The 14,934-nt window shown below is 44.2% G+C and overlaps 1 pseudogene; it reads right to left on the minus strand.

Annotated features, from left to right (window-relative positions):
• DLEC1P1 (DLEC1 pseudogene 1) lies at window positions 2,345-6,265 on the minus strand (annotated as a pseudogene).

Consider the following 14,934-nt stretch of genomic DNA (forward strand, 5'->3'; position numbering starts at 1 on the left):
ACCTGGGAGGCTGAGGTGAGAGGATGGCTTGAACCTGGGAGGCAGAGGTTGCAGTTAGCCGATGGTGCCACTACACCCCAGCCTGGGTGACAGAGTGAAACTCCATCTCAAATTTTTTTTTTTTTTTTTTTTTTTAGATCTTGCTATGTCGCCCTAGCTGGTCTTGAACTCCTGATCTCAAGTGATCTGGCCACCTCAGTCTCCCAAGCAGCTGAGGTTACAGGTGCAAGCCACAATGCCCAGCAAGTTTTTTGTTTTTATGCTATATTCTGTTGTATGAACGGGCCACAGGTTATTCATCCATATCCAAAGTGATAAACCTTTGGTGCTTTCCAAATGGTGAAAATGTGCTATGATGAATAATGCCTGTGTGAACCTTCTTTTAACTGTACCCTGGAGCACAGACATCTTGGCTTCTCTAGGGTCTTTACCTGGGAGCAAGAATGCTGAGTCAGAGAGAATACATCTCTCAACTTTACTAGATATGCCAAGCCATTATCCTAAGTGGTGTTTCAGTGTACACTTTTAAAAAGCAGGGTAGAAGACTTCATGTGTGTCACATCTTTGATAATACTTGATTTTTTCAGATTAAGTTTTACCCAATCTATGGCTGTGTAGTGTTATATCTTGAGTTTAAATTTGCATTTCCCCCCTTCCTAAGGAGGTTGAGCACTTTTTCATAAATGCATTGGCCACTTGGATTTTCTGTTCTGTGAAGTACCTAGTCAAGTCTTTCACCCATTTTTGTTTTATGGATCTTGTTGTTGTTGTTGTTGTTGTTTTGAGACAGAGTCTTGCTCTGTCACCCAGGTTAGAGTACAGCAGCACGATCTTGGCTCACTGCAACCTCCGCCTCCTAGGCTCAAGTGATCCTCTCACTTTAGCCTCCCAAGTAGCTGGGATCACAAGCATGCCACCACCACACTTGGCTAATTTTTGTGTTTTTAGCAGAGACGGGGGGGGGTTTCACCATATTGGCCAGGCTGGTCTCAAACTCCTGGCCTCAGGTGATCCACCCGCCTCGGCCTCCCAAAGTGCTGGGATTACAGGCATGAGTCACCATGCCTAGCCCCATTTTTGTATTGAGTTGTCCCTTCTTGTCCTTAGAGTTTCATTGGAGTGCCTTATGTATTCTTGCCATGAGTCCATTATCATCTTATCTGTTTTGCAAACATCTTTCCCTCCTTTGGCTTGCCTTTTCACCTAAATTTTTTTTTGCCTTTCATATTTACATATCTAATCTTCCTGAGACTGTTTTTTTTGTGTGCATGTATGATGTGAAGAAGGCTTTCATCTTCATTTTTTTTTTATATGGATGTCTGATTTTTCCGGGATCTTTTGTTGGAAAGATGATCTTTCCCCCACTTGTCTCAGTGCCATCATAAATCAAGTGACTATACATGTGGGTTTGGTTCTGGTTCTCTGTTCTGTTTCAGTCACCTGGCCATTCTTCTACCAATACCACACTTTCTTAAGGACTCTAGTGTGTTAACCTCTTGGTATCTAGTAAAGCAAGTTCTCTCATATTGTTTTTTCTTTAAGACGGTCTTGGCTTTTCTTGGCTCTTTGCATTTCCATTTAAATCTTAGAATCAGCTTGTTAAGTTCCACAACAACAAATAATGTGATGGAATTTTGATCAGAGTTGTGGTGACTCTATAGGACAGTTTGCAATATTGAGTCTTCCAAACCAAGAACATGTTATATCGTCTCTACATTTATTTGTCTTCTCCAAAGTCCAATGGCAAACTTCTAGTTTATAGTTTTCTCATTAGAGCCCTTGTATGTTTTTACTTATGTATGGGTACTTTATATTTTTAAGCTTTTGTAAATACTGTCTTTTGTTTTTGTTTTCTTAATTTCATTTTCCATTAATTGCTGGTATTGAGAATTGTAATTTCGTATGTTGATTTTTATATCCACAGCCTTGTTAAATAGTGTCTCTTCCTTTCCAACGTTTGTCTTATATTTCTCTTCCTTGCTTTGCTGTACTAGCTAGTTCTTCCAGTGCAACACGGAAAAGAAGTGATGTGCATAGGCATTCTTGTCTTGACTCTGATTTTAAAGGGAAATAATTCACCATTTCAACATTGCATGATGTTTTTAGTAAGTTTGTTGTGTTGTACATAGCCATGATCAGATTAAGGAAGTGTTTTACTGTTTCTATATTTCCAGGAGTTTTTCTTCTCCTTTTGATATTAAATTGTATCAAATATTTCCCTTTTGGAAAAGAGCCTCCTCCATCCCAGGGGGCTGTTCTAGAGTAGCTGGAGACCTGAGGTGCCAGGTTATCCCCTCTCCAGTTTCCACCCCACCACCCTAGTCTGTGACCTGGTATAGCCCCCTGCCCAGCAGACCTGTTCCTCAGCCCTGGGCCATGTTTATTCCATAGCTGCGGGCTGGGGCTGAGGGATAGGGCAGAGCCTCAGAGCTGGTGAGGGGACAGGTATCTCTAGTCATCCTAAGACTCTTGGCCCCAGAACCACAGGGTACAGACCTTCTTGCCAAGCACTTCTTGCACCACCAACGTGGCCTTGTATAGCTTACTGCTCCTATAGGTAGCAGGTTAGGAATTGCCCTGGGCAGGATGTCCAGGCTCTGTGGGCAGTGCAGGGGACTCTGGGAAGGGCTGTAACTGGCAGTGAAGAAAACCTGCAAGGTAATGGAGGTTGGGGGTGCATTGGTGGGTCACACCTCCAGCAGCCCACTATTTGGAGAGACCTTGAAGGTCACCGTGTCTTTGGCCAGCTCCAAGAGGAAGGGAGGACAAACATGAGCACAGGTGGCCCCATGTACCACCACAGGAAGACTTCACCCATTCACCCACCCCCAGGCTTGCCTGCATCTCAGGTCTGCACCTCTGGTCTTGCTCAGCACCACAGGGCAACTCTGGGATCACATGGGAATGGGGGACTGGCTGCTCTGCAGGAATTCCAAATGGTGCCAGCCCTGGGGAGCCACCTCACCGGGACATGATACATGAGCTCCACTATGGTTTAAACATTTGTCTCTTCCAAAACTCATGGTGAAATTAAATCTCCAATGTGGTGGTATTGAGAGCTGGGCTTTTAAGAGATGATTAGGTCATGGAGGCTCTGCCCTCATGAGTAAATTAATCCATTCATGGATTAATGGATTAACAGGTTATTTTGGGAGTGGGAATGCTGGCTTTATAAGAAGAGGAAGAGAGACCTGAGCTAGAACACTTTTCTCCCTCACCATGCGATGCCCTGTGTCTGCTCAGGCAAACAGCCCCCACCAGCAAGAAGGCCCTCACCAAATGCAGACCCTCAGCCTTGGACTGCTCATTCTCCATAACTGTAAGAAACAAATTATTTTTTAAATAAATTACTCACTTTCAGGTATTCTAAGCAACAGAAAATGGACTAAGACAAGACCCTTCCTGGGGCGTCATCTTCTCTCCAGTTTCTGTGGCCCAGTAACTTCGGCAGCTGCTCAGGTGCATTAGGTAGACCTCCCAGACTCGTTGCTGGCTCACAAAGCAGGTCCTAAAGTCCACCCAGCTGGTGGAGAGCTGCAGCTCAGGCACGGTCACTATGGCCTGCAGGAGCAGCACCTGTGGGGGACCAGGAAACCTCGTCCATTCTGGGTGGCTCTGAGCCAAGGCCTCTGGGACACAGGGAACCCTGCTGACCCCAAGTGCTGATGCTCTTCAAGAGAACAGGGAAAGTGCCCAACAGGTGGCAGGGGGCTGGTGCTACCTTTAAAGGCCAGGGCTGCTGGTGGGAGTCTGTGCAGGGAAAGGGCCAGGATGATGTGCCATCTACTCCCCCTGCCATCCCTGCCTCCCTCACTCCCCACAAGCTCTGCTCCCTGCTCCCTGGTCAATTGAGCTGCCCTCCTCTTCCTCCTTTCTCCTCCATGGGGCCCACAGGGCTCAGCCTTCAGCTCCTCTCAGGCCCTGAGCCACCTGGCCCCATCCCTCAGCCTCATGCCTTATCTGTGCCCTGCCTCTTCTAGCTCCTGGCAGTCCCTACATCACACTCAGGCACCTCAGGCATGCACAACCTCATCACCTCAGCCCCAGCTTCTCAGCCCTAGCAGCTGCCTAGGTGCCAGGCTGGAGAGCCCGAGCTCCATTGCTCAGCCTCTTGCTTCTCAGCCCTAGCAGCTGCCTAGGTGCCAGGCTGGAGAGCCCGAGCTCCATTGCTCAGCCTCTTGCTTCTGACCTCTCTGGAGTCCTTCTGGAAAAGTACCCACACGTAACTGTTGCATCTTGAGATCTTGTTGTTTCAAAAAGTTCCAGAAAGAAGCTCAGCCCCTGGAGAAAAACAAAAATCACTTGGATCCAGAGATACTTGAGCTGGAGATGAATTTTGATGAACACTCCTCATTATCATAGTAAAAACACCACCTACCCAGAGGGGAGCTTATTTGCCATTTTCTATACATGCTATGTATGTAGAAGCATGATCGGTGACTGCACCTGCACTGCCTTTACATACAATGACTCAGCTAACATACCTAATAAAAGCCCTGTTTTCACCATTATTTGGGGAGGCATTGCTCTTGGGTGCTATCCCTGGCATCCTCCTTAATTGTTGCAAGTAATAAAGTCCCCTTGTTAAACCCTCCTTGATTGTGGTCACTGGACTGTCACCTGCCAAGTGACCAAACCCATCCATTGTGTTACAGTCCAATGGGTTATTCTTGACCACTGCACAGAAAAGCCAATATATCAAGACAGCAGATTGCAGCAGAGAAAGAGTTTAATTATTGCAAGATGGCCAAGCAGAAGGATGGGAGATATTTCTCAAATCTGCCTCCCTAAGAGCTCAGAGGCTAGGGCTTTAAAGCATAATTAGGCTGGCAGGGGGATAGAGAATGGGTCCTACTGATTGGTTGGGGATGAAACCATAAGAGTGTCCAAACTGTCTTCACATGCTGAGTCATTTTCTGGGTTGGGGGTCATAGGACTGGTTGAGTCAGCTCCTTGGTATTAGTCATGGGTCTAGGTGGTGTCATTTGGTCTGCCTGAATGCAAAAGTCAGAAAAATATCTCAAAGACCAATCTTAGGTTTTAACAATAGTGATATTATCTATAGGAGCAGTTGAGGAAGTTATAAATCTTGTGGCCTCCAGCTATGTGACTCCTGAGCAGTAAGCAAACTAGGGAACAATGGCTGGCTATCACTTTACTATGCTTAGAGTTTAGCAGGATTCAGGCCCCTACCATAATTCTAACCTTGTGGTCTTTCATTAGTTTTACAAAGGTGGATTTGGTCCCCAAACAAGGAGGGGGTTAGTTTTGAGAAGGGGCTATTATCGTCCTTGCTTTAAAGTTAAACTATAAGGCCAGGCACAGTGGCTTACTTGTAATCCCAGCATTTTGGGAGGCTGAGGCAGGAAAATGGCGTGAACCTGGGAGGCGGAGCTTGCAGTGAGCCGAGGTCCCGTCACTGCACTCCAGCCTGGGTGACAGAGCGAGAATCCGTCTCCAAAAAAAAAAAAAAAAGAAAAACTATGTTCCTCTCATAGTTAGCTTGGCCTATGCCCAGGAATGAACGAGGACAGTTAGTCTGTGAGTTTACAACCAAGATGGAGTCAGCTTTGTTAGATTTCTCTCACTGTCATAATCTTCATAAAGGTCGTTTCAGCTGTGTGGGCAACACTCCCCTAGGCCACTCCTTCACACTCCTCATCTGCAGCCCCACCTTAGCCTCCACACCACAGCCTAGTGACCTTCTGGCCTATGGTGCTCATTCCTTACAACTGTCTCAGGTACTCTCACTGTTTCCACCCATCAGGCGTTCCCTCAGCCTATCAATGTGTTTCCCTTCTCCTTTGATTAAAGAGTATACAGGCTTCACATGCCACCTCCTGCAGGGAGTCTTCCCTGATTTCCCACACTCTGGCCCCTCACCCAGCTTTGGATTCATGAGGTAGGTAAGGGTGGATGGCCCTCATCTGTCTGCACACAGGGCCTCTTCTAGGGGAGACTGAGCCCCAGGACAGGGGCAGGGGCTCCTTATTTCTGAGGGCTCTGCCAGGTCTTTCCTTCTCTGGCCCCAGCAGAACAGAAACCCATCCGCTTTGGCCCTCCTCTCCATGTGGGTGGGCCTTGGGCGGGCCTTGGGCGGGCCTGAGTGGTCTGGTTGGTGTGCTCCAGGAGCAGGTTCTGAGTAAACACCATCTCTCTCTCTCCACTCGCGCTCTGCTGAATGTCCACCCCAGGCAGCATCTGGTTGGCTGGGAGCTTCTGATAGGAGAGCAGCTCCAGGGAGAGCGAGAAGGATACATTCACCTGAGCAGATGTGGACATGGTGTCAACTCCAGCTGCAGAGGGCAGGTGGCCGCTTCCTTACCTGGAGCTCCATCCTCCTTCCCTCCCAAGCCCAGCCTTGCCCAGCCAACAGCCCAGCAGCTCCCCAACCTGGTGCTTTCATTCCACAAGTGATGCTCGGCACCTACTCTGCCCAGCACCCTGCTAGTGCCAGGGATGAGCTGCACATGCCCTCAGGGATCACAAACTAGAGGAGAAGGGACATGAACAAACCACACTTTACCATCTCAAATGCCCAGGGCTCTGGTTGGGCTCAGAGGTCCCCATGCTGAGGACAGCGAGGAGCCTCTGACTGGTTTTAAGCAGGTGCACATCCAAGTCAGCTTTGCCTTGCACTGTGGTCCCTGGCTCTGTGGAGAGGGGGGCTACAGAAGCACACATAGGTGTGAGGTTGCCAGAATGGAGGCTAAGATTGTAATTGAGGCTGGACAGGATGGAGCTTGGACTCCTGGCTCCCAGACACAGGCCTGCAGATCTGGCTCAACAGTTTTACCCAAGGCACGTGTTGGAAATACAGGGTTAAGGGCAAGTCAGTTAAACCCTGTATTAAGACCTTAGATTTGACTGTGCCTCCAGGGCCCTTTCAACTAGACTGTGATAGTTTAATAGAAGCTTCTGTGGTATTGTTCTATATCAATGTTGTTTAATACGGTAGCCACTAGCCACATGTGGCTATTGAACACTTAAAATGTGGATAATATGACTGAGGAGTTGAATTTTAAAATTTATTTAGATTAAGTTTAATTTAAATGGCCACATGTGGCTAGTGGCTACTGTAATGCAGGGTCCCACCCGGACATAGTGAATCAGAAACTAGAGTGGGGCCTGGAAATCTGTGTTTTAACAAGGTGATCCTTATAAGGCCCAAGTTTGAGACTCACTAAGTTAGAGTTTAATAACAAGGAGATAAACGTAACACCTCCACAAGATTTGGAGATTTTGAAATATTTCTAAGCAATGCTGGGTCTAAGAGGAAATCGCTATAGAAATTAGAAAATAATTAGAACTGAATGATAACAAAATGATTGTGTACCAAATTTGTGGATTACAGCTAAAACAACACTAAGAAGGCAAACTTAGTCTTAATGATTATATTAACAAAGAAAAAAGCTGAAAATTAATGAGCTAGGTATTTTAGTTTAAGAAGTTAGAATAGCTAAATATGCTCATCAAACATGTAAAAAATGAAATGATAAAGATAAGTGCAGAGATCAGTGAAATAGAAAACAAAAATTTAATACAGGAGATAAAGAAGGCCGAAAGTTAATTACTTGAGAAGATTAATTATATGCACCTGCCAATATTAATTCTTTTTAAAAAGTGAGAAGGTACAAATGAATAATATTAGCAATTAAAAGGGAAAGTGGTTCCTCAAAATGTCAAACATAATTACTGTATGGTCCAGCAATTCCACTCCTAGGTATATACCCAAGAGAAATAAAAACCGATGTCCACACAAAAACTTGTACATGAATGTTCATAGCAGCATTATTCACAATAGCAAAAAATTAAAACAACTCAAATGTTCATCAACTGATGAATGGATAAATAAAATGTGCAATATCCATACAATAGAATATTTTTGGCAAAAAAAAGGAAACACATACTAACACATTCTGTGATATGGATGAATCTTGAAAGCATTATGTTAAGTTAAATATACCAACCACAAAAGACCACATATTGTATGATTCTATTTATTTGAAATGCCCAGAATAGGCAAATCCATAGAGATAGAAAGTAGATTAATGGTTCCCAGGTACTGGGGTTTGGTAATAATAAGAATGACCCTATGGGGTATGGAGATTCTTTTGGGGGTGATGAATATGTTCTAAAATTGGTTGTGATGATAGTTGCACAATTCTGTGAATACACCAAAAATAATTGAATTGTATACGCTATAAATAGGTTAATTATGCGTCATGTGACATATGTCAATAAGGATATTAGTTTTGTTGTTTTGTTTTGTTTGTGAGACAGGGTCTTGCCCTAAAGTGCACTGGCATGATCACAGCTCACTGTAGCCTCAACCTCCTGGGTTCAGGCGAAGTCCTCCCTCCTCGGCCTCCCAATAGCTGGGACTACAGGCACACACCATCAGACCTAGTTAATTTAACATTTTTTTTTTTCGGTAGAGACAAGGTTTCCCTATGGTGCCCAGGCTGGTCTCTAACTCCTGGACTCAAGTGATTCTCCTGTTTTGGCCTCCTGAAGTGCTGGGATTATAGTCTTGAGCCACCACACCTGGCCTGGACGTTGGTTTTAAATAAAGAGTAGGAGTCAGAGGGTGGAGAAGTGGAGAGTAAGGTATTCTCTCTGCAATAGCGTAGGAGTGCAAATTGTGCAACATTTCTAGATGGGACTTTGGGAATATGTTTGAATAGTTAAGATTTGTATACCCTTTGACCCATAATCCTCTTTTGACTATTTACCTGAATAATTACCCAAATATAAAAATATGCATGCACAAGGGTGTTCATTATTGCTTTGTTACAGTAAAAATAAAGAAAAATTGAAAGTAACTTTGTCATTGCTAGGAGGCACTATTGTTTAGATGATGTAATCAGTATGATTTATGAGAAAGCTCCATATTTACTGATGAAAAGATGTCCATGGCTGAGCACAGTGGCTCATGCCTGTAATCCCAGCACTTTAGGGGCTAAGGTGGAAGGATCGCTTGAGCTTAGAAGTTCAAGGCTGCAGTGAGCTACGATTGCACCACTGCACTCTGGCCTGGGCAACAGAGTGAGACCCTATCTGTAAAAAAAGGAAAAAAAAAAAAACAGAAAAAGAAAAAAGAAAAAAAAAAGGTGTCCATGACATAATGGAAGAAAGCAGTTTAGCTGAACCTCACATGTAATGTATGTATACCATTTATGTAAAATTCAGACATTTATTTTTACATAGAGGGATGTTCAGAATTATGTTAATCAAAATGTTGACTGATTTCCACCAGATAGTTTCATGAAAATATTTAAATGTGTTCTTACTTGTATTTTAAGGTAGCGTTGGAATTTTAAAAAATATGTATGCATCATGTTTACAAACACATTAAAGCTATTCCCAAAGAGGGGAAATAAAAAAAAAATGAAAGAGGACAAGTCCCAGCTACCTGAGAGACTGAGGCAGGAAGATCACTTGAGCCCACAAGTTCGAGGTTACAGTGAGCTATGATGGTGCCACTACACTCCAGCTTGGGTGACAGAACAAGACCGAAAAAAAAAAAAAAAGGGCAAAAGGGCAAGTTCTATATAATCCAACCTTACAGAAATTTTTCTGGAGCAAGACTCCACCTCCGAAAAAAAAAAAAGAGGAAGTACTTCTAATTTATAAGGCTTGCAAAGCCTTGAATAAAACACACACACAGATTAGGACAGTTTAATAAAGGAAAAATAGATGTTAATCTCACTCAAGAACATAATTATAAAAATCCTAAGCAACATATTATAAATCAAATCCAGAAAAATATTTAAAAATAAAAATACATTTTGACAGCCTGGCCAACATAGCAAAACTCTGTCTCTAGTAAAAGTACAAGGCTGGGCATGGTGGCTCATGCCTGTAATCTCAGCACTTTGGGAGGCTGAGGCGGGTGGATCACTTGAGGCCAGGAGTTCCAGACCAGCCTGGCTAACATGGTGAAACACCATCTCTACTAAAAATACAAAAATTAGCCAGGTGTGGTGTCACATGCCTGTAATCCCAGCTACTCGGGAGGCTGAGGCAGGAGAATAGCCTGAACCCAGGAGGCAGAGGTTGCAGTGAGCAGAGATCGTGCCACTACACTCCAGCTTGGGCGACAGAGCGAGACTCTTTCTCAAACAACAACAACAACAACAACAACAACAACAACAAAATAGTGGACAGGCGCGGTGGCTCACACCTGTAATCCCAGCACTTTGGGAGGCCAAGGCGGGTGGATCACCTAAGGTCAGGAGTTTGAGACCAGCCTGGCCAATATGGCGAAACCCCATCTCTACTAAAAATACAAAAAATTAGCCAGGCGTGGTGGTGGGTGCCTGTAATCCCAGCTACTCGGGAGGCTGAGGCAGGAGAATCACTTGAACCTGGGAGGCGGAGGTTGCAGATACTGTCACTGCCCTCCACCTGGGTGACACAGTGAGACCTGGTCTCAAAATAAATAAATAAATAAATAAGTTATTCCTAAGCACTGGTAATGTGCAAAATATTTATTTAAAAAGTACATTTTGAAAGGAAAACACATGTGACCAGATCGAGTTTCTTCTTGTAATACAAGGTTAGTTTAATGTTATAAAATAGATTAATATATTTAATCATATTAATACCTTTAAATTTATCACTTAAAATTCAACATACATTAATTTTTTCATGTCTTGGCAAAAACTCAAGATGGGAAAGAATTTCCTTAACCTAATAAAGGGCATCTATATAAAATTGATTACACTTAAAACAGCAAAGATTATACTTCATGTTAAGATGTTGAAAGCATTTCCTTTGAGATCAGGTACTGTTCCCTCACTACTTCTGTTCTGCAAGTAGTAGACATCGAAGCTGGTGGAGTAACACAAGAAAAAGAAATAAGAGAAATAGAGTATAAGGGTCAGGCAGGAAGTTAAAGTATAATTATAATTGCAGAAAACATGATGGTCTCTGCAGAAAATATGTAAAACTCTATGCACAAATAAAATAAACGATAGACTTAGCTAGTCTCCAGGAAGGTTTTCAGTCTGAATTCACACACCACTTGTGAAGTTCGTTGGAGCATGTTAGCCAAGGCGGCAACACTCCTTTTTCATGTCCAGGCCTAACTGATGCCCAGACTAAGGAGCTGGTCTTTCACCCGGGGATAATACCAAGCAGTGTTCTTATTAGGAAATCTCCAGGAGAGCATGGAATGTAACAAGAGGTCCCCATATTTCAAGGCACAAAGTGAAGATCTTATAAGGGTTACAAAACTTCACTGAGATGTTAAGAGCTCAACTTAAATAAAGCTGTTAAAGAGACAGAAAAGGTCTTCAGTGAAGAAAGGTGGGCAGAGATGACTCCCATGAAACACAGAACCTGGAGGACCCCTCGACCCCTGCAACTGGGAGGGTAGATGGGTGATGCCCAGTTTCGCATCTTCCTCTCCTTCATGTTTCCACATTCAGTCTCCAAGACCTGTCAAGTCTTCCTCCCAATATATCTCTTGGTTCTGATCTCTTCTTCTGTCACTGAACTCCCTGGTTCAGACCACTATCACCTCCCACCCACAACAGTTTCACAACTCCTGTCACTGCCTTGTTTCTGCCCCTTCTTACCCCATTCAGAGTGATCTTCCAAAAACAAATCTGAACACTATAAACCATGAAGTGGCCTCGGGGAAAAAAAGCCAAAAAATGTTTTTTAATAAATAAGTTCCCAGTTACAAACAAACAAACATGACCTGACTGGTCACTCCCTAGCTCAAGTCTCTCAATAGCATCCTATTGTCCTCAGCTGCTGACACCCCATCTGAGGAAGGGACAATGACTCTGCCATTCATCTCTCTAGCCCAGCCCTAGCACAGAAATTGGCACAGAATTGGTTGCTGCATAATGTTTGTTGCATGCATAAATGTGGGTGAGTATTGATGCCCATAGGTTTGTTGTGAGGATGTGGGGAATTTGATGCCTTCCACATTTTTCTGAGAAGCAGGAGGCAATTCTGCTGAGTATGACCAGCAAGCATGTTGGACAGGAGCCTGAGGACTGTGGTGAAGGCTGGACAGAGCCGCAGTGGAGGAAGGGAGAAGCAGCTGAGCAGGGTGCACTAGCCCTAAGCCCTGGGTAGGGCTGGAGGCCAGGAGTGTGTGCGATTTCCTTTAGCATTATCCACTAGTGTGGGCTCCAAAAGGGAAACCTGGCTGAAATGATGCCAAGTTAGGGTTTTTCCACTGCCTGTAAAGCACCAGGAGTTGAGAGTGATGTTAAGAGAGTGGTTAAAGTGACGGGCTGGTTAGAAAAGGAAGTAGCGCCAAAAGGAGTGAGGTGAGAAAACACTAAACAGGTCTTGATCGGCTCTCAGAGCTCATGCAGTAGGGTAGGGAGGTGGAAGGGTAGGCACAGCACGGGGCAGAGGACGCTATGCTTCAGAGGTAGGGCAGTGATGGTAAGATCCAGGAGCGAAGGGCTAAAGTAGGGACAAGACAAAGGCAAAGGAGCTGCCGACATCAAGGCGCTATATTTCCATGGATGGGATTATGAAGTTCCACATCTGGATGCTTCAGAACATATTCCAGATGAAGAGCTGAAGGAAGCATCCTCATGTCGCACTGGATGCAGGGCCGTGTGGAGTGGATGGGAAGTGTGGAGCTGCCAGACTTCCCAGAGCCTTGGCAGGGCCTGGTGACCTGTGTCCTGGACACCTGAGGCCAGTGTCACTTTAGACTGGATTCTGCAACCCTGCAGGAGCCCGGCAGCTGTTTTTGCCTCCTCTAGAGACCTACATGGTAAAAGGGCCTAAGTGCCGTTAGGTCAGGGCTTGGGTTCAACATTGTGCATTACAGGTTTATTTTTATGAGTTTTTTTGTTATAGTTTTTGTTTTTGTTTTCTTCTAGAGGCTTGTATTTTTCTCTGGTTTCAAAGATCAGCTCTTGTAGTTATTTACTATTATTTCATTTTGGTGCTTTTACTGTTTTCTCATTGTTTCGCCTTTCTTGACTTCTTTCTGCTTTCCTGCTTTTGTTTTTATTCCTCCTCCTCCTCCTTCTCCTCCTCCTCCTCCTCCTCCTATTTCTCCTCCTCCTCCTCTTTCTCCTCCTCCTCCTCTTTCTCCTCCTCCTCTTTCTCCTCCTCCTCCTCTTTCTCCTCCTCCTCCTCCTCCTTCTCCTCCTCTTCTTCTTCTTTGCTTTTTGATACAGGGTCTCAGGCTGGAGTGCAGTGGTGCAATCAGAGCTCACTGCAGCTTCAACTTCCTGGACTCAAGCAATCCTCCTGCCTCAACCTCCCAAGTAGCTAGGACTACTGGCACATACTGCCACACCTAGTCAATTTTTGATTTTGGGTAGAGACAGGGTCTCACTGTGTTGCCCAGGTTGGTCTCAAACTCCTGGGTTCAAGAAATCCTCCCACCTTGGCCTCCCAAAGTGCTGGGATTACAAGCATGAGCCATCATGCTCAGTCTTGGTTTTGTTTTTTCTAACCTCCTGAATTACGGAGTGTATTAATTTCCTAGGTCTTCCATTTGAAAAGTACCACCAACTAGGTGGTTTAAAAAGGAAGTTGATTCTCTCATAGTTCTGGAGGTTAGAAGTCCCAAATCAGGCATCAGCAGGGCCATGCGCTCTCTGGAGGATCCTGGGGAAAGTCCTTCCTTGCCTCTTCCTGCTTCTGGTGGTTGCCGGCAATCCTTGGGGTTCCTTAGTTTGCAGATGCAAAACTCTAGTCTCTGCTTCCATCTTCACATGGCCTTCCCCCATGTGTGTGTGTCCAAATTTTCCTCTTCTTCTTCTTTTTTTTTTTTTTTGTTTGAGACAGAGTTTCACTCTTGCTGCCCAGGCTGGAGTGCAATGGCAGGATCTCGGCTCACTGCAACCTCTGCCTCCCGGGTTCAAGCGATTCTCCTGCCTCAGCCTGCCGAGTAGCTGGGATTACAGGCATGTGCCACCATGCTAATTTTGTATTTTTAGTAGAGGTGGGGTTTCTCCATGTTGGTGAGGCTGGTCTCGAACTCCCAACCTCAGGTGATCCACCCACCTCGGCCTCCCAAAGTGCTAGGGTTACAGGCGTGAGCCACCATGCCCAGCCAATTTTCCTCTTCTTATAAGGACACTGGTCATTGGATTGGAGCCCCCCAATCCAGTACGACATCATGTTAACTTGATTACATTTGCAAAGACCCTATTTCCAAGGAAGTCACACTCCCAGATACTGGGAGTTAGGACTTGAGCACATCTTTTTGGGATACACAGTTCTACTCACTACATGGGGTTAATTTACTTTCACTCTTTAATGAAAGCATTCAAGAATATACATTTACCTTTGAGGATATCTTAAAGGTTCTGATAAGGATGTTTTCATTTTCCTGCTTTCTAAGTAGTGTGTTGTATTATTATTGCCTCTTTGAGCCATTAATTATTTACGAGAATGATTTAAAGGCTCTAAGTAGCTTGAGATTCCTTCAATTATTATTATTTTGTTTATTTGCTTTTTCTTTATTCTTTTAGTTCACAAAAATTCAATAATATAGAATACATTAAAATGCAAAAGTCATCCCCTAACCAATAGTTTCTAAATAGTGGATTTAGAAACTATTGGTTTCTAAATTTCTATTGTTATTGATAACTTGGAGTCTATCTTTGCAAACCATTCTTTCATGTATACAGAAGTACTTGGCTTAGGGACAGTGGGAGGGGGGTAAGGGATGAGGAATTACCTAATGATAATGGACATTCTTCAGGTGATGATTACACTAAGAGCCCAGACTTGATCACCACTCAATACATTCATGTCACAAAACTGCACTTGTACACCTTCAATTTATTTTAAAAAACAAAACAAAACAAAAGAAGTACTTGGCTGAATTATGTGCTTCAAATACTCATGGAGCGGGAGAAGAGCAGATCCCAAGAAGTGAATGCAGTAAAACCAGGAAAAAATGGAAGATAGTCACATCTAATTTTCCTAAAC

Source organism: Homo sapiens, chromosome 3, assembly GCF_000001405.40.
Source record: "Homo sapiens chromosome 3, GRCh38.p14 Primary Assembly".
Classification (NCBI taxonomy): Eukaryota; Metazoa; Chordata; class Mammalia; order Primates; family Hominidae; genus Homo; species Homo sapiens.